The sequence below is a fragment of the Homo sapiens genome, chromosome 18 (assembly GCF_000001405.40).
Source record: "Homo sapiens chromosome 18, GRCh38.p14 Primary Assembly".
Classification (NCBI taxonomy): domain Eukaryota; kingdom Metazoa; phylum Chordata; class Mammalia; order Primates; family Hominidae; genus Homo; species Homo sapiens.
In genome coordinates this window covers 12,847,987-12,872,173 of record NC_000018.10, presented here as the reverse complement: position 1 = coordinate 12,872,173, position 24,187 = coordinate 12,847,987, and the positions used below count along the sequence as shown (strand labels likewise).

At 41.0% G+C, this 24,187-nt stretch overlaps 1 protein-coding gene across 10 annotated transcripts in view, besides 2 other annotated features; it reads left to right on the top strand.

The window, feature by feature from the left end:
• The window catches only part of PTPN2 (protein tyrosine phosphatase non-receptor type 2), a 98,760-nt gene that overhangs the window by 12,064 nt on the left and 62,509 nt on the right, over positions 1–24,187 (top strand). For 6 of the 10 annotated variants that reach the window (XM_024451228.2, NM_080423.3, NM_080422.3 and 3 more), the window contains exon 2: positions 12,920–13,010. In XM_024451228.2, the coding sequence (XP_024306996.1) occupies positions 12,920–13,010 (91 nt within the window). Of the gene's footprint in view, positions 1–6,719; positions 8,978–9,429; positions 9,535–12,919; positions 13,011–24,187 lie in introns of those variants that run through there. The other 4 variants (XM_024451229.2, XM_047437695.1, XM_047437696.1 and 1 more) reach the window with 4 other exon arrangements.
• Positions 11,135–11,798: an enhancer, noted in NCBI's record as "H3K27ac-H3K4me1 hESC enhancer chr18:12860375-12861038 (GRCh37/hg19 assembly coordinates)". NCBI's record gives its function as "activates a minimal SCP1, AML or CMV promoter by ChIP-STARR-seq in primed H9 embryonic stem cells {active_cell/tissue: H9 hESC(primed)}" and the evidence as "EXISTENCE:reporter gene assay evidence [ECO:0000049][PMID:30033119]".
• Positions 14,642–14,771: an enhancer, noted in NCBI's record as "active region_13110". NCBI's record gives its function as "activates an Ori minimal core promoter by ATAC-STARR-seq in GM12878 lymphoblastoid cells {active_cell/tissue: GM12878}" and the evidence as "EXISTENCE:reporter gene assay evidence [ECO:0000049][PMID:35858748]".

The window sequence follows — 24,187 nt, the reverse complement described above, 5'->3', positions numbered from 1 at the left end:
GGTACATCAATCAGGGTAGCCCTAGAAAGTTGGAGTAACTTCGTAACAGTGGGAACTGCTTCTGTTCTATGTTTTTTGTGGGTTTTTTATTTGTTTTTGTTTTTTTGTTTTTTTGTTTTTTTTTTGAGACAGAGTCTTGCTCTGTGGCCCCAGGCTGGAATGCTACGGCACGATCTCGGCTTACTGCAACCTCTGCATGCTGAGTTCAAGCGATTCTCCTGCCTCAGCCTCCTCAGTAGCTGGGATTACAGGCGTGCACCACCACGCCCAGCTAATTGTTGTATTTTTAGTAGAGACAGGGTTTCCCCATGTTGGCCAGGCTGGTCTTGAACTCCTGACTTCAAGTGATCAGCCCACCTCTCAGAGAGCTGGGATTATACATGTGAGCCAACATGCCTGCCCTGCCTCATTCTTTATACTACAGTAAAGTCCCGGTTGGGCAATAATCTAAACATAAAAGAAATGAAACCATAAAATTATATAAGAAAACAATGGAGAAAATTTTTTGTAATCAACAGAGTGAAAAAGGATTTTTTAATGCCATGTCACAGAAACCTAGAGAAAAAAGGTTTAAGTTTGATTTCATAAAAATTTAAATTTTTGACATAAATACCATAAAGGTCAAAAGATAAAAAATTTTAAATATTTTCAATATATAACAAAAACTAAACTTTCTTAATATGTAAAGAACTACATATCAAAAAGAGAGCGGAAATACAGATGGCTTTTAAAAACAGGTAAAGCTGTTCACCTTCACAATAATAACAATTTCAAATTATGACTATAATAATACCATTTTTCACCTATCAGACAAAGATGAAAAAGTTCATTAATATAATTGTGTAGGTGAAGCTCAGGCACTTTCTTATATTATTGGTGACAGTATACATTGATATAGCTTCTTTGAAAGGTTATTCATAGCAGCATTATTTATAACAGCTAAAACCTAGAAATAACCTATGTGTCCCATTATAGATGACTGGCTAAGTGATGAATACTATTAAATTGTTAAAAAGAACTCATTATCTATATGGAAGTACTTTTAATATATACTAAGTGAAAAATCAAAGTGCAAAACAGTATGCTAATATCTGTTTTGTGAGGGTGGGATGGATACTTGGATGGAGGAAGACAGACAGGCAGTCTGGCTTATATATGGATAGAATGTCTCGGAAAATATACAAGGCACTGGTTACAGTTATCACCTAAGGGAAAGGATTGAGGGAGAGGAGAATGTGACTTAACTTTTTCACTATATACCCTTTTGTACGGTTTAATTTTTGCCAAGTCCATGTAATCCATGTATACATAGGGAGCATATGTATATAAATATATGTAAATATAAGTAAAAAAATATGTATGTGCTGCCGGGCGCGGTGGCTCACTCCTGTAATCTCAGCACTTTGGGAGGCCGAGGTGGGCGGATCATGAGGTCAGGAGATCGAGACCATCCTGGCTAACACGGTGAAACCCCGTCTCTACTAAAAACACAAAAAAAGTAGCCGGGCGTGGTTGCGGGCGCCTGTAGTCCCAGCTGCTCGGGAGGCTGAGGCAGGAGAATGGTGTAAACCTGGGAGGTGGAGCTTGCAGTAAGCCAAGATCGCGCCACTGCACTCCAGCCTGGGCAACAGAGTGAAACTCTGTCTCAAAAAAAAAAAAAAAACAACACGCTTTTCTCTCTCTCTCTCTCTCTCTCTCTCTCTCTCTCTCTATATATATATATATATATATACACATATATATATACGTATATATATACATATATATACGTGTATATATACATATATACGTATATATATGTATATATACACATATATATACACATATATATGTATATATATACATATATATACACATATATATGTATATATACACATATATATGTATATGTATATATATACATATATATATATATGCTAAAGTTAAGTACTGGATTCCTATCTGTATCTGCTACCTAACTGCAGTATAAATCTTGGAAGTTGAGTCTGTTTTCTCATTTGTAACCACCTCTTAGATAACACACATAAAAGCACATAGCACATGCCTGACACACAGTAGGGTTCAGTGACAGTGAGCTGTTTTAGTCTCTAAACTCTCTTCCTCAAAGAGAGCTTCTCAAAGAAAAAAAAATGTAGTGAAGAAAAGAACTTACTCCACCAGGGATCTTCTCTCCCCAGCCAGTGGCAGGCATATTAAGGGCTATAAGTAAGTGGTTATTTTACCATCCTAAAGTAATGGTGTTTCAAAGTATGCAAGATTCTTCATACTTCACTGTGTCCTTTTCTGAGCATCTTTGTAGAGAGTATATGCACAAACATCTGACTAACAAAGGGAACACTTTTCATCATATAATTTAGGATTCACTTAGAGACCTAAAGTATAAAGAAAGAAACTTAGGTATGTTAGCCCATAAGGAGAAACTCATTATCAATTTGGGATTATCTTAAGGTCCTACCTTATAAAATTAAAATTTAACAGAAGATTATTCTTTTTCAATTTCCTAAGTTCTTATTTGCTACTACATCGTAGCAGTTCGAGGGAGAATTTGGTCTAACGATGTAATGTTTTCTGTATGCCATACATAGAACAAAGCTATGTACGAAATACTAAAAATATTATTTGACATTATTTAATAAAATATTATAACTATTTCACCCCGATAATGATGGAAATTAAGTTGCAGTAATATAGATTTTTAAAATAAAAACTTCAAAACCAGGCGCCATGGCTCACGCCTGTGATACCAGCGCTTTGGAAGGCCGAGGCAGGCAGATTGCTTGAGACCAGGAGTTTGAGACCAGTCTAAGCAACATAGCAAATAAAAATAAAAAATTAGCCAGGCATGGTGGTGTGCCTGCAGTCCCACCTACTTGGGAGGCTGAGGTGGGGGGATCACTTGAGCCCCTGAAGTCAAAGCTGCAGTGAGCTGTGATCACACCACTGCATTCCAGCCTGAGTGACAAGGCAAGACTTTGTCTCAAAAATATAAGTAAAATAAAATTAAAATTTTACTTGTTTATTTTTTTGAGACGGCGTCTCTCTTTTTCCCAGGCTGGGGTGTAGTGGTGTGTTCTCGGCTCACCGTAACCTCTGCCTCCGGAGTTCAAGCGATTCTCCTGCCTCAGCCTCCCGAGTAGCTGGGATTACAGGTACGTGCCACTATGCCCAGCTAGTTTTTGTACTTTTAGTAGAGACAGGGTTTTGCCATGTTGGCAAGGCTGGTCTCAAACTCCTAATGTCAAGTGATCCGCCTGCCTGGGCCCCGCAAAGTGTTGGGATTACAGGCGTGAGCCACCGCACCCAGCCTTAAAACTTTAAAATTCAGAATATGAGCCTTTGTTTTATAGCTTCACTTGTTAAAACAAATCAGGAGCTGGGTGTGGTAGCTCACGCCTGTAATCCCAGCACTTGGGGAGGCTGAAGCGGGCAGATCACCTGGTCTCAATCTCCCTGAACTCGTGATCCGCCCGCCTCAGCCTCCCAAAGTGCTGGAATTACAAACGTGAGCCACCACGCCCGGCCTGAAGTTTGAAGTTTTTAAAAAGAAAGAGTTGTTAGGCATAATTGTGTAAATAGAGGTAAAAATTGACAGCAAGAAAGGCAGTAGAAAACTATGACAAATGAAGGTGATGGCTCACGCCTGTAATCCCAGCACTTTGGGAGGCCAAGGCGGGCGGATCACCTGAGGTCAGTAGTTCAAGACAAGCCTGGCTAACATGGTGAGACCCTGTCTCTACTAAAAAATACAAAAATTAGCCAGGCATGGTGATGTGCACCTGTTATCCCAGTCACTTGGGAGGCTGAGGCAGGAGAATTCACTTGAACCCGGGAGGCGGAGGTTACAGTGAGCTGAGATGGCGCCACTTCACTCCAGTCTCTCCAGTCAGTCCAGACAGAGTGAGACTCAATCTCAAAAAAAAACAAAAAACAAAAAACAACAACTATGACAAATAAGTGTAATTTCCCAGGACTATTAAGGTCTTGTAATCCCATGCACTGGAAGCTTTTGTTGTTGTTTTCTGATTTATCATTGAAGTGACCAAAGCGCAGTGGTAAGAACAAGCCTTTGTGATTACTTCACACTAGAGAAGGGTCTTTCCCACATATTTGAGACTTAAGGAGTTGATAGTGAACAGTGTAAGCGGCCACACAGGTGTGGGTTAAGAACTGATGTGTGTATTCACTTTCTGTAAAGATGACCAAACATATGTTGTTAGACAAACGAAAAATTCACCCCAAGATCATTGAGGGCATGCAAAATAGTATGAGGTAGAGGCAGCTGTAATTCAGGTGTCCAAATACAAGAGCAGGTGGAGAAAAGAAAAGAAACTGAGAACAGTAAAGAGTTTTTAAAGTTATAACACACAATTGTTAAAATAGAATGTTCAGTACCAAGTAGCAGAGTAGATAATGCAGAACACTGAGGTGGCTTGAGAAAAATCTCTCAGAACTCAGGAAAGAGGTGTGCGAAATGAGCGTTAGGAGAGAGCACTTCCCCAAGTCTGTGATAGAAATTCCTGAAAGGGAACAGAGGAGACTGAAGCGAAACTCTATTAAGCGACAAGGAAGACTCAAATGGAGAAGCTAACCCAGTTCCGATGAAGACTTGGCACATATCTATAATGTATTTTTTTTGAAGTCAGCCAAAAGAAAGTTTAAATTTGAGGTACATCTGAAAGAGTAAGCAATACAGAAAAATCTTGACAACATCTGAGGACAAAAAAAAAAGTACTGATACTGTTGAGTGTGAGGCAAAACCTCACTTTCAGTCTTTCTTGAGAAATATTGGCAAAATATGCCCTTAATACAGGAGTTCCATTTTTATTTCATTTATTTATTTATTTATTTATTTATTGAGACAGGTTCTCACTTTGTCACCCAGGCTGGAGTGCAGTGGTACAGTCACTGCTCACTGCAGCCTTGACCTCCTGGGCTCAAGTGATCCTCCCAGCTTTGCCTCCCAAGTAGCTGGGACTGCAGGCACGCATCACTACGCTTGGCTTTATTTTTATTTATTATGTGTTTATTTTTATTTTTATTTTTTGTAGATACGTGGTTTCACCATGTTGCCCAGGCTGGTCTTGAACTCCTGGCCTCAAATGATCCTCCTGCCTTGGCCCAGAGTGTTTTTGTTTTTTTTTTTTGTTTGTTTGTTTTTTGTTTTTTGGAGACAATCTTGCTCTGTCACCCAGGCTGGAATGCAGTGAGTGGCGCGATCTCGGCTCACTGCAACCACCGCCTTCTGGGTTCAAGCAATTCTCCTGCCTCAGTGTCCCGAGTAGCTGGGACTACAGGTGCCCACCACCATGGCCAGCTAATTTTTTGTATTTTTTAGTAGAGATGGAGTTTCACCATGTTAGCCAGGATGGTCTCGATCTCCTGACCTCGTGATTTGCCTCGGCCTCCCAAAGTGCTGGGATTACAGGCATGAGCCACCACGCCCGGCCGAGATATATTTCACATACCATAAAATTCACCTAAAAGGTACAGTTTAGTGGTTTTTAGTATATTCACAGCTGTGGAACTAAATCTTAATTTCAGAATATTTTCAACACCCCAAGGAGAGACTGGGTACATACAGTTATTCTCCATTCTCACCCACATCCCAACCCCTGACAACCACTAATCTACTTTCTGTCTCCAGATTTCCCTGTCCTGGTCTCATACCATGTGTAGTCTTTTGTATCTGTTTTTTTGTTTTGTTTTGTTTTGTTTTGTTTTGTTTTGTTTTGTTTTTGAGAGGAGTCTGGCTCTGTCGCCTAGGCTGGAGTGCAGTGGTGCAATCTTGGCTCACTGCAAGCCCCGCCTCCTGGGTTCACGCCATTCTCCTGCCTCAGCCTCCCCAGTAGCTGGGACTACAGGCGCCCGCCACCACACCCGGCTAATTTTTTGTATTTTTAGTAGAGATGGGGTTTCACTGTGTTAGCCAGGATGGTCTCGATCTCCTGACCTCGTGATCCACCTGCCTCGGCCTCCCAAAGTGCTAGGGTTACAGGCGTGAGCCACCGCGCCCGGCTGGTTTCTTTAACTTAGCATAATGTTTTAAAGTTTCATCTGTGTTGTATGTATCATTACTTTGTTTCTTCTTCTAAGTTAGTAAGATTCCATTATATAGATATATACCATTTTGTTTATCCATTCACCAGTTGATGGACAAATGATTGTTTTAGCTATTATTAAAAGTGCTACCATGAACATATGTGTCCAAGTTTTTGTGTGAATGTATGTATTCGTTTCTCTTGGGTATGTGCCTTGGAGTAGAATAGCTAGTTCATATGTTAACTCTTTGTTCAGCATTTGTTTTTCTAAAGTGGCTACATCATTTTAACCTTTAGTTTTTTGTTTTTTGGTTTTTTTTTTGGGAGTGGGGTGGGGCTGGAGTGCAGTGGCGTTATCTCGGCTCACTGCAACCTCCGCCTCCTGGGTTCAAGCAATTCTCGTTCCTCAGCCTTCCGAGTAGCTGGGACTACAGACACATGCCATGACGCCCAGCTCACTCTTTTTGCCCAGCTCACTCTTTTTATTTTAGTAGAGACAGGGTTTCACCATGTTGCCCAGGCTGGTCTCAAACTCCTGAGCTCAGGCAATCTGCCCACCTCAGCAGGGTTTCACCGTGTTGACCAGGCTGGTCTCAAACTCTTGACCTCAGGCGATCCACCCACCTCAGCCTTCCAAAGTGCTAGGATTACAGGCATGAGCCACTGTGCCCCGCCTCTCTCTTTTTTTTTTTTTTTTAATAAAGACAGAGTCTTGCTCTGTTGTCCAGGCTGGCATGCAGTGGCGTGATCACGGCTTACTGCAGCTTTGACCTCCTGAGCTCAAGTGATCCTCCCACTTCTGCCTCCCAAGTAGCTGGGACCACAGATGTGTACCACCATGCCTTGCTAATTTTAAAATTTTTTAATAGAGATGGGGGTCTGTCTGTGTTGCCCAGACTGGTCTCAAGTGATTCTCCCACCTCAGCCTCCCAAAGTATTGGGATTGCAGGCATGACTCACAGCGCCTGGCCTCAGTTTCTTTCAAGACCATCCTATAACACCAAGTTAGTTTGAGGATTCTATGAATGTCTGCTTAAAGATATCCTTCTGAATTCTGTGATTCTCTTGAAAGGCTTGTTGCAATGAAAAACAAAGTATAATGATGACTTTATGTGAAGTATACTTTTGGAATTTCTTAAGCAGAAGTCCTGAGACTTTTGAGAGTCCCTGTATTTAAACAGTACCATTTAGGCACAGTTACTGCTTATGAAATGAAGAGTAGCTAGATGAATATAAAAAATCTTACTCTTACATTTCAACCCAGCATTATTTGAACCCAGCAAAATTATTTCTATAGTAGAATCAATTTAGTTCCTTATTTTAAGCCATGCATATATATCTCAAAGCAAATTTCAAGAGGGATTAAATGTTATTATGTGAAAATATTAGGAGGTGAAATAATAGGAGAAAGTAAACACATTGAAAGTAGGTATGTTCAGGCCAGGCGCGGTGGCTTATGCCTGTAATCCCAGCACTTTGGGAGGCTGAGGCGGGCAGATCACGAGGTCAGGAGATCGAGACCATCCTGGCTAACACGGTGAAACCCCGTCTCTACTAAAAATACAAAAAAAAATTAGCCGGGCGTGGTGGCGGGCATTTGTGGTCCCAGCTACTCGGGAGGCTGAGGCAGGAGAATCGATTTAACCCTGGAGGCTGAGGTTGCAGTGAGCCGAGATTGCACCACTGCACCCTAGCCTGGCAACAGAGCAAGACTCTGTCTCAAAAAAAAAAAAGGAAAGTAGGTATGTTTACAATTTAAAATCTTTGGGCATGGAGATAAGCTATAAGGCCATTGATCAGAATGGACCATTTCATAATGTTCCAAAAATTAGACTACTTTGGAAAAAGGTGGTGTGTGGTCTTAATGTAGGCAATGCACATGTGTGTTTAAGTTTCAAATACAGCTAAGGAGCTAAGTGGAATTTTTTTTTTTTTTTTTTACCAAATAGCGTGTATTAATAATAGCTCAGTTCCATTTACTGATTTGTTTTTCCTTTGTTTATGTCATATATTATCTTTCCAAGAGATTGTGAGTTTATGCTACTGCCAATTTGGTATGAGGGCCTGTTTTTAAAAGAGCTGCATGATATTCACTTGGATGTACCACGATTTATTCAACCAGTCTTTTCTTTGTCATTAGACATTTAGTTTATTTAAAGCCTTTCAACATTATAAGTAACTGTGAAAGATATCTTTGTGCTATGAGTTGCCTACATTTTGGATCATTGCCACTAAGAAAGAAATTAACTAGTGACTCAATTATTCCTTGCTTTTTTTGAGCAAAAATCATATTAAAAATAATTAGATTTAAAATTTTTGGTTAAATTATACTTTAAAGCAAAGATCCTTGCCATTTAGATCTAGTTTGGTATTAAATGAGAACGGTGGTTCTCTACTGTGTTGGTGGGGGATATGTTCATGATGGATTTTGCTGTGGAAGGACATTTGGCAATGCCTGGAGAGAGTTTTGGTTGTTACAGATGCAGGGAGGGGTGCCACTGACATCTAATGGGTAGAGGCCAGGGATGCTGCTGCTAAACATCCTGCAATACACAAGACAGTCCCCACTTGCCCCCCCCCCCCCAAAAAAAATTAGCTAGCCTAAAATGTCAGTAGTGCTGAGGCTGAGAAACCTTGGATTAACAGGTTTCACTGCTGATGGGAAACTTTTTTTTTTTTAACAGGGCCTTACTCTGTTGCCCAGGCTAGAGTGCAGTAGCAGGATGCTAGCTCACTGCAGTCTTGAACTCCTGAGTTCAAGCAATCCTCCTGTCTCTGCCTCCCAAGAAGCTGGAACTACACATGCACACCACCATCCCCAGCTAATTAAAAAAATTTTTTGGCAGAGCTGGTGTCTTACTGTGTTGCCCAGGCTGGTCTCAAACTCCTACCCTCAAGTGATCCTTCCAGCTGGGCCTCCCAAAGCACCAGGATTGCAGGTGTGAGCCACTGTGCCCAGAGGAAACATTCGGAATCTGTGATAGAAGGGGAAGGTTTTAGCTCCAGAACACAAGTAGAGCTGGCTTTGCCTTATGTGATAGACCTAGTGAATAGCTCAGCTGTCTGCTTTCCTAATGCCATTTAGACAGATACTGTATATTTTATTGCTTATGCAATGTGCTTATAAAATTGTTTATTTTTGTGTCTTGGGTATTCCTGAAAATGCCTCATCAGTGTCAGATCTAGTTGCTGTTGAGATTTGGTTTTGCTGCGTATATTACAGACCTGATTTAGCTACATGGGAAAGAAAATTAATCAATAGCTGATTTAACAACCAGGAGTTTATGTTTCTCATGTGATATGAATTCTGGAGAGAGACTTAAGGGCTGTTACTGTGGCTTCTTGATGTCACCCATGACTCAATGCTGGTATTTCTGCTTACCTTTCTTAGGAATGTGCATTTTACCTTGCTGTCACAGGATGGCTCCTGCCTGTTCCCACCCCTCACCCCCGGCAGCAAAACCTATGTTCCAGGCAGGCAGCAGTGAGGACAAAGGTACCTGGAGCCAGTCCTCTTTGTCAGCGTTTTCCTGCAGCCCCAACCCAGTGGTTTCTGCTTATTCCCATTGGCCAGACTGTCACAGGACCTTAGAGGCTGGGACAAATAGTTTTCAGCTGGGCTCATTGTGGTCTGAAAACAAAAGCAGTTACCTTTAGTAAGAAAGAAAGGATATTGGGGCTGGGTGCAGTGGCTCACGCCTGTAATTCCAGCACTTTGGGAGGCTGAGGCGGGCGGATCACTTAAGGTCAGGAATTCAAGACCAGCCTGGCCAACATAGTGAAACTCCGTCCCTACTAGAAATACAAAAATTAGCCAGGCATGGTGGCGCATGCCTGTAATCCCAGCTACTCAAGAGGCTGAGACAGGAGAATCTCTTGAACCCGGGAGGTGGAGGTTGCAGTGAGCTGAGATTGCACCACTGCACTCCAGCCTGGGCAACAGAGTAAGACTCTGCCTCAAAAAACAAAAAAAAAAAAAGAAAGAGAAAGAGGATATTGGAATAAACGCTAATATGCACCTTTGGGAGCTGCTTTTTGAAATATTGGTTCTTGTAAGTTCACTGAAATTTTTTTTATAAAGTAGAACAATATTGGAGATTTGAAAGAATGGACTCAATGCAAGAGATCTTATTAGCTGAGAAAATGTATTTATGTTATGAATGTATTTCTTAACCCCAAGAACTTGGCTGTTGTATTGTGTTTTGTAAATTTTAAATCTCCCTACTACTATACTGGGGGCCTTACCCTCTTTTGTATAGTGCACACAAAGAAGTGTGTTTCTCTGGGCTAAAAATAGAAATCTGCACCTGACAGATGGCCTTAAGTGTGGAAAATGGGTGTGTGTGTATCACAGAAGTGGAAGAAGTGGAGGGAGTCCTGCTCTGCCTGTTGTTTTAAGCCTCCCCTCCCTGCAAATCTATATCTTTCCTATACACTAGTAATGGTCAATAGGTTTTTGTTGTTGTTGTTGTTTTAATCCCATTTACAGTAGCGACAAAACTTATCAGGTATCTAAGAATAAACCTTTATTATACATTTATGCTAACCTTTAGCATACCTTTATGAAGAAAACTACAAAATTAATTAAAATATCATGAACGGCAATGCAAATGGGGAGAATAAATAGGGGACAACTTGCCTTCCAGATGCATTGATTACAAAGCTGTAGTAACTAAAATTTGATACTGTCTCAAGGGCAAGCAAATGCTTCTGTGAAGTAGAATGAGGATCTAGAAACAGACTCCTGCGTGTGCTGAAACTTGGTTTATGATAGAGCAGGTGTTACTGATAAATGCAGAAACCAATAAATGGTATTAAGTCAATTAACTTTCCATTTGGAAGGGATAAAATTAAATTTCTCTTCCACGTGCAGGCTAATAACAGTGTCTTATATCTTGCAAAAGTACTTACCAGTCCATTCACTTCCAGAAAAATGGAGAAGTTTCATATTAGAAATTTGTGCATCATGTTTCATAAATAAAAACTTCAGATACTCGGCTGATGGTGTTGGCTCAAACCTGTAATCCTAGCACTTTGGGAGGCTGAGGCAGGTAGATGACTTGAGCCCAGGTGTTCGAGAACAGCCTGGGCAAAAAGTGAGACCCTATGTCTATAAAAACAAATAAACAAAATGGCACCTAACTTTTAAAATGCTTTTTCTTACATGTAATAATGTGAGCAAAAGCATAATTTAATTTTTCCTATTAAAATGCTTTTTTTTTGGTTTCTGTTACATTTCTGTATTTACTTGAATTCTTAGAACACTGTTTCCTGGGAGATCAAACCTGGCCATTCTGGATACATCAGTAGTGAGAGCTTAGTGCGGACATAGCCTTACAGAATGTCTTCTATGTTGAAATGCAGAGAACCCGAAGGCGCCTAGGATGAGCCTCAGGCCTGCTGGTTGTTGCAGTGGCGCAATCTCAGCTCACTGCAGCCTCCGCCTCCTGGGTTTAAGCGATTCTCATGCCTCAGCCTCCTGAGTAGCTGGGATTACAGGCGCTCGTCACCAGGCTTGGCTAATTTTTGTTTTGTTTTGCTTTTTCCGCCTCACTCTGTCACCCAGGCTAGAGTACAGTGGTACGACCTCGGCTCACTGCAACCTCAGCCACCCGGTTTCAAGCGATTCTCCTGCCTCAGCCTCCCGAGTAGCTGGGATTACAGGTGCCTGCCATCGCGCCTGGCTAATTTTTGTAGTTTCAGTAGAGACGAGGTTTCACCATCCTGGCCAGGCTGGTCTTGAACTCCTGACCTCGTGATCCACCCACCTCGGCCTCCCAAAGTGCTGGGATTACAGGCATGAGCCACCGCGCACAGCCTAATTTTTGTATTTTTTTGGGGTTTTTTTTTATAGAGTCTCACTCTGTCGCCCAGACTGGAGTGCAATGGCACGATCTTGGCTCACTGTAACCTCCACCTCCCGGGTTCAAGCAATTCTTCTGCCTCAGCCTCCCGAGTAGCTGGGATTACAGGCACCCATCACCACGCCTAGCTGATTTTTTGTATATTTAGTAGAGACGGGGTTTCGCTTTGTTGGCCAGGTTGGTCTCAAACTCCTGACCTCAGGTGATTCCCCGCCTCGGCCTCCCAAAGCGCTGGTATTACAGGTGTGAGCCACCACACCTGGCCAAATTTTTGTATTTTTAATAGAGCTGGGTTTTCACAATGTTGGCCAGGCTCGTCTCAAACTCCTGACCTCAGGGAATCCGCCTGCCTCGGCCTCCCAAAGTGTTGGGATTACAGGCGTTAGCCACTGCGCCAGGCTTGTTGCTGAACATTTATGGCTCTAGAAATAATTTTTTTTTTAAGGAGAAGTAATGACAAACATGATAGAAATAAAATTTGAGGATATTTCTGGGTTCAAAATAAAGTAACAGTTAAATAGCGTGAACATGAAGAAATAAATATTTTCAGGTAGAAACTCCAAAATTTAGGTAGATGCTGTGAGTTTTAGTCAGAATTTGAATATGATGTGGCTGACCATAGATACCTCCATTGCATTAATTCTGCTTCATAAAGTGTTTGATGCTTGCTTGTAGGTGTTGAATAGAGCCTAATTAGCAGTAAGTAAACAGATCTAGAGCACAGACTTTGGCATCTGAAGGACCTTGGTTCAATGCTGGGACTGCCACTTACTAGCTATGGGATCTTTGGTGGATTTTTAACCTTTGAAAGCCTTTCATCCCTCACAGATATAATGGGGAAGAAAATCGTTTCCATTAGTATTGTGAGGATTAAATGATTAATTGATGTAAACAATGTGCTTTCCATAGTACTTGGCATATCATAAGTGCTTCATGTTATTTTACGCTGGCTGGGAAGATAAGTTTTGCTGTGGAGAATTTAAGAGGGATATTAAAATATATTTTTGTTATTTTAAGGAAATTCGAAATGAGTCCCATGACTATCCTCATAGAGTGGCCAAGTTTCCAGAAAACAGAAATCGAAACAGATACAGAGATGTAAGCCCATGTAAGTACTTGTGGGTTTGTGTGCATGTGTATTTTTTGGTTTGTTTTAGGAGGCAGGATGTAGTGAAAAGGAGGGCTTGGGGTCAGTGTTGATAAATACAGTAATTTTTTTCCTATTTACGTAAGACACGTTCTTTAAGAATTTAAAGGTGTAGAATAGTGGAAGGAAAAATAATTACCCATAATTATTTCATCCTTCAAACATAGGCACCATTATTTTGGTGTATTTCCCACAACCTGTTTTTCTTATGCACAGTTTTCCTTTCTTTAAAATAATTGTAATTATAGATGTCTATATAATATCCATATGTATTTCCTTTTCATATCATTCCATCCCCTTTGTAAGTTTTGCTTAAAATAGTTATTGGTGTAGTTTGGTTTTTTTCCTTCCCCAAGTTATAAGAGTAGTATGTACTCGCTGTAGAAAACTTAGAAAACAGAGAAGAGTATAAGGAACAAACTTATTTAAAAATAAATAATAACTTGGGTTTATATTCTTTGGAGTTTTTAAAAATAAACATGTACTTTAAACGGAAAATTAGAATCTTGCCACATACTCATTTGTAGCTCTTTTCTTAGCAGTACATTGTAAACTTTTTTTTATTATAAACAATTTTTAATTGCTTTGACAGTGGCTTTGGATATACCACTCTTTTGCATAAGTTCCCTGTTGTTGGACATTTAGATTATGATGTATACACACACAGACGCACACAATTGTGTGAACAATTATAATACTAGAGTTCTTTGGTGTATTCATCATCATGCGGTGATTTTATTTTTTGTTCTGATTCATGCAGCTTATTCAGATATTAAATTGGGCCTCCTTCGTGCTTCAGCATATTTCCCTATGTTTGACTTTAGTGGGCTAAACATAGGTTTTCTCTTTAGGGCTCCCTGTTGGTAGGGACTTGAAAAACAGTATCAGATTGATCACATTCTGGTTTTTGCTTGTTACTGATTGTTCGCCTGTTGACTAGGGTATGGTGCTGCCTGCTAAGATCTCCTGTGTAGGTTGAACCATTTCACTGTTCAAGGACACAGACTGTATACCTTTATATACATTGTAGTCATTGGTTATAGATAAGATATTTAGGGTCTGGATGTACCACTGAAAAATCCATCAGTTACTGGAAAAAAATCCTTATTTTTATTCTTACATGAATAGAATGTTTTTCTTATGTTGACCAAATACATTTCCAAGAAGGGTGTATTGGCTGATTTTGGGCAAATCAAATGAGAAGCAGTCTCTGAAAATCTTTCATGTTTGTTATAAATTACTATTAAATACTATGTTTCTCTTAATGCTTTTTTCTTTACTACCAGTTAGAAGTGTTCTTAAAGACAAGTAGCTAGAAGAGTGGTTTTCCATTTTCTTCAGTTGCAGCACACTTGAAGATTTGACCCACTTCCTCTGAAACAGGTGGCTCATCACGGTGGCAGTTCCAGTGTGGGTGTGCGTTCAGGGAATAGCGGGTGTGGGCAGTAATTCTGATACTTAGGTGCCCTTCCCCTGCCTCCAAATCTCTGATTGAGAATCACTGAGCTACAGAGAATAATTCTCTAATGTTACCATGAGTTTTGAAGACAGTATTTTCCAGTTGTACACCTTGCTTTGATGCCTTTAATTTTTTAAAAACTTTTGATTTTGAAAATTGTAGATTTGGATGCAGTTGAGAAATAATACAGAAAGATCGAGTATACCCCTCACCTAGTTTCCCCCAGTGGTAACATCTTGCATAACTACAGTCCAATATCACACCTGGGAACCTGAAACAATACAGTCCATCCAGGTTTCACCAGTTTTACATGCACTCATTTGTGTGTGCGTGTAAGTTCTGTGCAGTTTTATCACGTGTAGATTCCTGGAATCACCACCACAGTCTAGATGCAAACCAGTGGAGCATTCCCATCACAGGGTCACTTGCACTGCCTTTCTGGGGCCACAGTCTCCTTGCTTGGATCCTCCTTCCCTAACCTGGTGTTGCCTTTAATTTTTATATATTTGTTGTAATTGCAATTATTGGATGCACTACACTACATTTGAGTCCCCTAATTAGTTTTATCGAATTGATCTAAATGGGATTTTTTTTTTTTTTTTTTTGAGATGGTGTCTCACTCTGTTACCCAGGCTGGAGTGCAGTGGCGTGATCTTGGCTTACTGCAAACCCCTGCCTCCTGGATTCAAGCGATTCTCCTGCCTCAGCCTCCCAAGTAGCTGGGATTACAGGTGTGCACCACCATGCCCGGCTTATTTTTGTATTTTTAGTAGAGATGGAGTTGCACCATGTTGGCCAGGCTGGTCTTGAACTCCTTACCTCAAGTGATCCGCCTGCTTCAGTCTCCCAAAGTGCTGGGATTACAGTCATGAGCCACCATGCCCAGCTGATAATTTTATTTTAACTGGAATTGAGATGTTTTATTTTAAAGTAAAAACATTTGCAACTTAAGTTATCCTCAAGTATATACATCAATAAAACTTATGATTTTTCTCCTCAGCTTTTAGACTTATGTTGTATACCTGCAGTTGAAGGCTGCAGGGAGACTCTTTAAAATATGCGTTATCAGGCCTCCCTCCATCATCATTGGGACCAGGCTCTTCCTGTATGCCTTCTCATTGAAAAGCACTTAGCCTTGAGAGAACCAAGCTTCCCTCCTGCGGACCATGCAGTGGTTGTCCTCTGGAGCTGTGCTCTGCTGGGAGCAGCCCCCAGTGCATGTTCTCCTTACTCTTCTTCTTCTTTGCCCCCTCCCTCCCCACACATGCCTCCCTAGTAAGCCATGTTCTCCTGATCTCTCAGAAAGAGACTGCTCATTCTTGCTTCTCACGTAGCCACAGGATTTTCTAGTCTGAGCCAATATGCTTCAGCCTGCAAATGGAAATGATCTCTTCCAAGGCTTGTGCTGGCCAGCACATCCCCACACCGCCTTGGCACCTCTCCTCTCCTGACTTCAGTCATTCACTGTCTTTCTCCTTACCCTCTCCTTCCCACCTTCCTCATCCTGGGTGACTTCATGTCTCTGGGAAAGAACTACGGCTCATTGCGCTAGAGTTCCTAGACCTGTTCAGCTCCGCTGACATTGACCTTTAGTCATCTTCACCTCTGAAATCTGAAACTCTGCTGCCTTGAGGGCTACTTTCTGTCATTCCAGCTTTCACTTGCTTACTCCCACTGTACCTGCTCTTTGACTTCAGCAGGATCTTTAGTTGACTTTTTCATGTATTGTGAAGTTGGAAATGTATTGAATTGAAATTTCGATTAAAAAATGTAGTGAAGCATATTACTTTGTCCTCTAACCTAACTATTAATAACTTTCTTGTTGTTTTTATATTTAAAAAATAACTCTGGATTTTTTAATTCCACCATTTTGTGAAGCTCCAACTTAGGAAAAATCAGTCATTCATCCTCTCTGCACTTTGGGCAAATGAGCGTGTGCCTTGGGTGGACTCCAGTGTTAGGTGGGCTTGGGGTTGCCTTGCTGTCCTCATGCCCTCGTCTGCCCCACTGCCACCGTGTTCCAGCTCTGCACCGAGTAAATTATCTCTCAGAGCTCCTCACCATGCTCAGGATATCGTCCTGCTTTCAATTCTACAGATAAAAATTGTAAAAATCAGGAAACACCACCTTAGCTTCATGTTCTATCACCTGGAAACTCACTTTCTTTTGCCCCTATCCTTCCCTAAAGTCCCAGGAGAGAAGCCTCCCCTCCCTCTGTCCTAGCCGAATCCTTCGTCCCCATCCTCCTCATGGGCCCTGCTCTTCATCATCACTGCTTTTTGTGTGTTTTCAGCCTCTTTCTATCTCATAACTTCTTCTCTTTTGTATAAATATGGTTCGCTCTCTTTTGTCTCAACCCTTATATCCTACCCCAGCCCCCACTTCCTTTCTTACCTACATGGATGGACATTTCTTACCTGTACACAGGCTTAAAAGAATCAATGTGCCATTTGTCTCTCCACCCTCCCCACCATGCACACTTCAGCCCATGCTTCTTCTCCAGCCTCCCCACTGAAACTTATTCTAAAAGCACTGTAGCTGTAGTTGTCAAATGCAATGAGAGACTTTCCACTGGTTTCCTTCTCTGTGACTTTTGACATTATTCTCCTGCTTCAGCCTCCCGAGTAGCTGGGATTACAGGCACGAGCCATGACGCCTGGCTAATTTTTGTAATTTTAGTAGAAACAGGGTTTCACCATGTTGGCTGGGCTGGTCTCGAACTCCTGATCTCAAGTGATTGGCCCACCTCGGCCTCTCAAAGTACTAGGATTACAAGTGTGAGCCACTGTGCCCAGCCGACCGTGCCTTTTTTCCTAACCCCGTAATTTTTCTGATTTTCCTCTTTGGCCCCTCCCCTATTTTCAGGGTGTCTCCTCCTCACTTTGCCTTTATTTCTTCAGGAGTCTGTTTCTCTCTCCTTCTCACTGTAACACTTGGATGAATGATCTCATCTGCTGTGGGCCTAGTTTCCATCTCTGCTTATAACCCCAAATCTCATCTGCAGTCGTGGACTTTTCTGTCTACAGGTCTGTGTATCCAAGTCATCATCTCTGTCTGGGTGTCCTGTAGCCACCTCAGACTCAGTATACACTGAGTGAGTGTTCCTCCCTGACACACTTCACTGGCCTTAGCCCCACACCTGCCTTTTCTCCTTTTCCCCATGTTTATAAGTGGTGCCGTTATTTACACATTTTCTGAAGCCAGAAACAGATTCTTCCCTCATTCATTTCCCACGTCACTAATACTAATTTCCATTTCCATGATGTATTCCTATTTCTTTTTCTTTTTTCTTTTTTTTTTTTTTTCAAGACAGGGTCTGGCTCTGTCACTCAGGCTGGAGTGCAGTGGCACCGTCTCGGCTCACTGCAACCTCCGCCTCCCAGGCTCAGGTGATCCTCCCACCTCAGCCTCCTGAGTAGCTGGGACTACAGGTGCATGCCACCATGCTGAGCTAGTTTTTTAGATTTTTTGTAGAGATGGGGTTTCGTCATGTTGCCCAGGCTGGTCTCAAACTCCTGGACTCATGTAGTCCACCTGCCTCGACCTCCTGATGTGTTGGGATTACAGGTGTGAGGCACCGTGCTCAGCCTCCGTAATGTATTTCAAATCTGTTTTCTTCTCTGTTCACATTGGCTTGGTTCAGGCCCTACTACGCTTTTCCTCGTCATTACAGTAGCCTCCAAACCCATCTCCTTGTTTCCCTTCTGTTCCCACTTCAGTCCATTTTCATGGTATCTGGAGTAATCTTTGTATAATGCAAGTGTGTTTTCCACTCTCCTCTCTAATAGTGCTGCACAATTTTTATGAAAAAGTTAAACTTCTTTAGCATTATCATACTGGGCTTTTTGGAGATTGACCCCTTTACACACCTCTCTAAATCTTTTCTACCCATTTTCCTAGAAATTATTCATTTCAGTAAAACTGAATCACTTGGAGTTCTTCTAGCGTGACTGGTTTTTAATACCTCAGTGGCTTCAAATATGTCATTCCCTTTTTGAAATATTCTTCCCCTCCTCTCTCTGACCCATCTCAATCAAAGTTCTCCTTCTGCAAATACCAGCTCAACAACCTCTTTCCCGTGAGTGGTATTCTCATCCAGTGGAGGTGGTGGTTCTCGTTCACTAAGTCCAGAGGGGCTCAGGAATGTGTATTTTTTAAAAGCTGGGATGGTGTTGCTGTACCTTTTCCAACTGATAGTCATTATGTAATTTAAAAATGTGTTTCTGGCTGGGTGCTGTGGCTCATGCTTATAATCCCAACACTTTGGAAAGCTGAGGTAGGAGGATTGCTTAAGGCCAGGAGTTTGAGACCAGCCTGGGCAACATCTCTACACAGAACTTTTTTTTAATTAGCTGGGACGTGGTGATGCATGCCTGTAGTCCCAGCTATTTGGGAGGCTGGGGCAGGAGGATCACTTGAGACCACTAATTCAAAGCTGCAGTGAGTTGCAATGGCACCAGTGCACTCCAGCTTGGGTGACAGAGCAAGACTGTCTCTAAAAAATTTTTTAAATGCATTTCTATACATAGTACTTGACAGTTGCTGATTTGGTTCAGAAAACATTTGTTGAAAACCAGCTACATGTTTGATACTATGCTATGTATCGAATAATTTATGGTATACTTGAGGAGATTAACACATAAGCATGTTACAGATATTGTAAGATATGACAGTGCATTGATGGAGCTGAGAAGAGGCTCTGCCCAAGGAGGCAGGGATGGCTTTTAAGAAAAAGAATGGTAGCCTGAACTAGGTAAATAAAGGGGAATGGAAAAAGAATTTTTTAAAAATTCAGAGTCCCAGATCTTTCTTTTCTAGATTTGGATTCAGCCGGTCTGGAAATGTTTATTTTTAAACAATCTTAACATGATTCTTTTACACTCACTATGGCACCACTCCTCAGACTGACATATGGAAACTACATTTGGAGTTCTGAATACGAGAAACATAAAGGAAAAAGGATATTTTAAATTAGGAAGAATTTGGGCTGGGTGCAGCAGCTCATGATTGTAGTCCCAACGCTTTGGGAGGCCGAGGAGGGAGGATCGCTTGAGCCCAGGAATTTGAGACTACAGTGAGCTGTGATTGTGCCACTGCACTCCAGCCTGAGCAATGTGAGACCTTGTCTCAAAAAAGGAAGAAAATTGAAAGGATTTGAAGAGGTCCATAATCTGCTACAACCTAGAGATGCCTCAGTTGTCTCAGTTAACTGTGAGACATTGTAGAAGAGATGGACAAGAACTTCGTTGTTTGAAAAGAGAGTAGCTTGTAATGGTTACTTTGGGAAACGTCTTTATACTATTAGAGACTACCACCAAATTTTGAGATCTTCCTATTTGCAGTACAGGTAGAAATCCCAGTTTACTATTTGGTCTAAAAGGGAGTGCCAGCAATTGAGTCAACTGTCATGTCTTTTCACTGGCCATGAAACAATCTGTGTGTGTGTGTGTGTGTGTGTGTGTGTGTGTGTGTGTTAAAAACCCATACCATAAATTTCTTGTAGGTGTATATTAACAGTATTGTTAACTGTATGCACATTGTTGTACAATAGATTTCTGGAACTTTTCCATCTTGTATAACTGAAACTCTAAATCCATTGAAAAACTCCCTATCTTCCTCTTCCCCCAGCCCCTGGCAGCCAGCATTCTGCTTTCTGTTTCTATGAGTTTGATTACTTTAGACACTAAATATATGTGTAATCATGCAGTATTTGTCTTTCTGCGACTGGTTTATTTCATTTGACATACTGTCTTCAAGGTTCATCCATGTGAAACAGTCAGATTTTAAAGGAAATTAACACAGAGACTCATGATTCTGGTAGTGTCAGGTTACATAGTCCATGGTTTGTTGCTCTACAAAACAAAAAGATTCTCAAATAAACATACTTTTTAAATGAGTTACTAGAGGGGGAAGAAGGAAGGGAAAACTTCTATGCTTTCGGCACGCTCCCTGCATGATCTTAGCAAATGGCATAACTACTTTGAATGCAGATGTCAGTATCAGCTCTGAGATTTGTATGCAGCTAATAAAGTAGCCCCAAGATGTATTAAGCAAAAATGAATAGAATTTTGGGGAGAAATTGACAAATCCATGTTCATGGGCTTCTTAATAAGACAAGATATTTGTAAAGAAATAGATTTATATAATATTATTCTTTTTTCTTTTTTTTTTTTTTTTTTTGAGACGGAGTCTCGCTCTGTCGCCCAGGCCGGACTGCGGACTGCAGTGGCGCAATCTCGGCTCACTGCAAGCTCCGCCTCCCGGGTTCACGCCATTCTCCTGCCTCAGCCTCCCGAGTAGCTGGGACTACAGGCGCCCGCCACCGCGCCCGGCTAATTTTTTGTATTTTTAGTAGAGACGGGGTTTCACCTTGTTAGCCAGGATGGTCTCGATCTCCTGACCTCATGATCCACCCGCCTCGGCCTCCCAAAGTGCTGGGATTACAGGCGTGAGCCACCGCGCCCGGCCTATATAATATTATTAACCTTAATATAAGAAGAAAAATACATAGAACCCTATATCCAGCAATTAGAAAATGCACATTTTTCTAGGACTGACATGGTCTATTTGTAAAAAATGGACCATTGACTAGGCTGTCAAGTAAATCTTAAAATTTAAGAATGCCTGGCTGGGCGCTGTGGCTCACGCCTGTAATCCCAGCACTTTGGGAGGCCTAGGTGGGTGGATCACCTGAGGTCGGGAGTTTGAGACCAGCCTGACCAACATGGAGAAACCTCGTCTCTACTAAAAATACAAAGATTAGCCAGGCATAGTGGTGCATGCCTGTAATCTCAGCTACTCAGGAGGCTGAGGCAGGAGAATTGCTTGAATCCGGGAGGCAGAGGTTGCGGTGAGCCAAGATTGTGCCACTGCACTCCAGCCTGGGCAACGAGAGCGAAACTCTGTCTCAAAAAAAAAAAATTCCTATCTTATAGCTCATAATTTTTTATCTTAATGCAATTAAAATATAGGTTATTAATAAAAAGATAAACATTTCCATAAATTTGGAAGTTTTAACATTTCTAAATCGTGGGTCAAGACAAAATTATAATGGAAACTTAAAAATAAACAATATATAAAATACTGCTTATCAAAACTTGTGTAAAGGAGCTAAAACAGTACTGCAATGAAAATATATTGTCTTAAATATTTATATTATATTTTATTTATTATTTTTTAGATGGAGTCTTGCTCTGTTGCCTAGGCTGGAGTGCAGGGGTGTGATCTCAGCTCACTGCAGCCTCTGCCTCTCGAGTTCAAGCAATTCTCCTGCCTCAGCCCCTCGAGTAGCTGGGAGTACAGGCACGTGCCACCAGGCCTGGCTAATTTTGTGTTTTTTAGTAGAGACAGTTTCACTGTGTTGGCCAGGCTGGTCTCAAACTCCTGACCTTAAGTGATCTGCCTGCCTCGGCCTTCCAAAGTGCTAGGATTACAGGCATGAGCCACTGTGCCTAGCCCAGTATTTTAAGATGAAAGTTAAAATTAATGTGCTGTCTAACCTAATTTAGAGTAAAAATAAGAGAATGAGAAAAAAAAAGCAGAAAGAAGTAACAACAACAAAGGAGCAGAAATAGAAATCACAGTTACAGCACAAGGGACCAACTAAACTAAATGTTAGCCTCGGTAAGACTGATCAACTCTGTCAAGATCGAGCACGATCAATCAAACAAGAAAGAAAGAAGGTGCATATAAACAATATCAGGAGAAAGAGTGGGCACATAAATACAGGTATACAAAGAAAGCGTGAATTGAATACTGCCAACAATTTTATGGCAGTAAATATGATTTTTTAGAAAAAATGGAACAGATTCCTAGAAAAACATAATTTACCAAAACTGACTCAAGCAGAAGTAGAGTCTGAAGAGTCCACTTAAAGACATTAATAAACAAAATCCACAAAGAAAACACTGGGCCAGCTGGTTTTACCGGTATGTTTCATAATAATGCAAGTGAATATAGATGTAGAAATCCTAACAAAGGATTAGCAAACTGAATATAGCAATGTATTAAAAAGATAATACATTATGTTCACATTAAGTTTATTTCAGGAATGTAAGGGTAGCTAACATTAGAATACCTTTTTTATTTTTTATTTATTTATTTTTTGAGACAGGGTTTCGCTCTTGTTGCTTAGGCTGGAGTGCGGTGGCACGATCTTGGCTCACTGCAACCTCCACCTCCCGGGTTCAAGCAATTCTCCTGCCTCAGCCTCCCAAGTAGTTTGTATTACAGGCGTTAGCCGCCATGTCTGGCTAATTTTTGTATTTTCAGTAGAGATGGGGTTTCACCATGTTTGTCAGGCTGGTCTCGAGCTCCTGACCTCAGGTGATCCATCTGCCTCGGCCTCCCAAAGTGCTGGGATTACAGGCGTGAGCTTCTGCACCCGGCCTAGATTATTTTATAATTCACCACAGTAACAAAGGAGAAAGAGCCATATGATTATCTCAATAAGTGTGGAAAGATTATTTAAAGTCCTTGCTGAGGATTAAAAATGACACATAGCAAGCTAGAAATAGAAGGGAACTTCTAAGATTTCTAAGAGATAACTGCAACAACATCACTCATAATGATGACATGATGAAAGCATTGTTTTAAAAAAATATTGGGAACAAGGTAAGTGTGTTCATTCTTACCACTTATACTTAACATTATACTTCTGTCTCCCTGACCTTATACTCTAGGTCCTAGTTAGTACAGTAAGCAAGAATGAGAAATAAAAGCCATAAGGATTGGAAAGAAATAAATTAACTGTCTTTTAATCTGTTTATGAGGCCACTATAGAACTTTCATAGCCAAAGCAGGAAGGTTCAGTAAGAGGAATAAAAGTATAAAAGTTTTATCTGTTGCTATATAACAAACCACCCCAAAACAGTGGCTTAAAACAATAGGAGACATTTATTATGTTCACAAATCTAGGGGTTGACTAACCCCACATAGGTGATTCTTGCTCAAGGTCTTTTGTGTAATTGCATTTCAAATGGGGGCTGGGGCTGGAGTCACCTTGAAGAAGCAACTTCTTTACTCTTGTTGACTGTGACCTCAACTGGGCTGTCACCAGGAACACCTACACAAGGCATCTCTATGAGACCTGGACTTTATCACAAGGCAACTGAGTTTCAAGAGTGAGCATTCTTAGAGAGCAAGGCAGAAGCTTCATTGCCTTTTGTGACCTAGCCTTAGAAGTCACATACAACTTCCACAACATTCCGTTTGAGAAGTAACTCACTAAGGCCATGCATGTTCAAGGAGAGGGTACTTAATACTCTTATTAGTTTGATGGAGGAAGTATCAGTGAATTGTGGACATATTTTAAAACCATCACCACTATAGATGATACGAATTGCTTCGTAGATAACCCCTCTAGAAATGTGCAGACAAGTCAAAGAATTATTAAGAAACATTTTGATAGTCTTAGAATTATAAGATGATAGACCTTCAAATCATTAAAAAGAAACCTTTAAACTTACCAGAAAGTGCTTGTCATCTTTCTTAGTAATAGCAGATTTAGATAAAAACTTAGTTCTATAATAATAATCCGAATAAGTATAGATTTAAGTTAAATTTTATGGTAACTATTATGTAAATATTTGCTAACATTTTTTCTTATCCCATTAAAGTTTGAAAATAAAGACCAGATGTCAGTGTAGTGCTTTACCTTCTCAAAATCCGTTGTTGACAG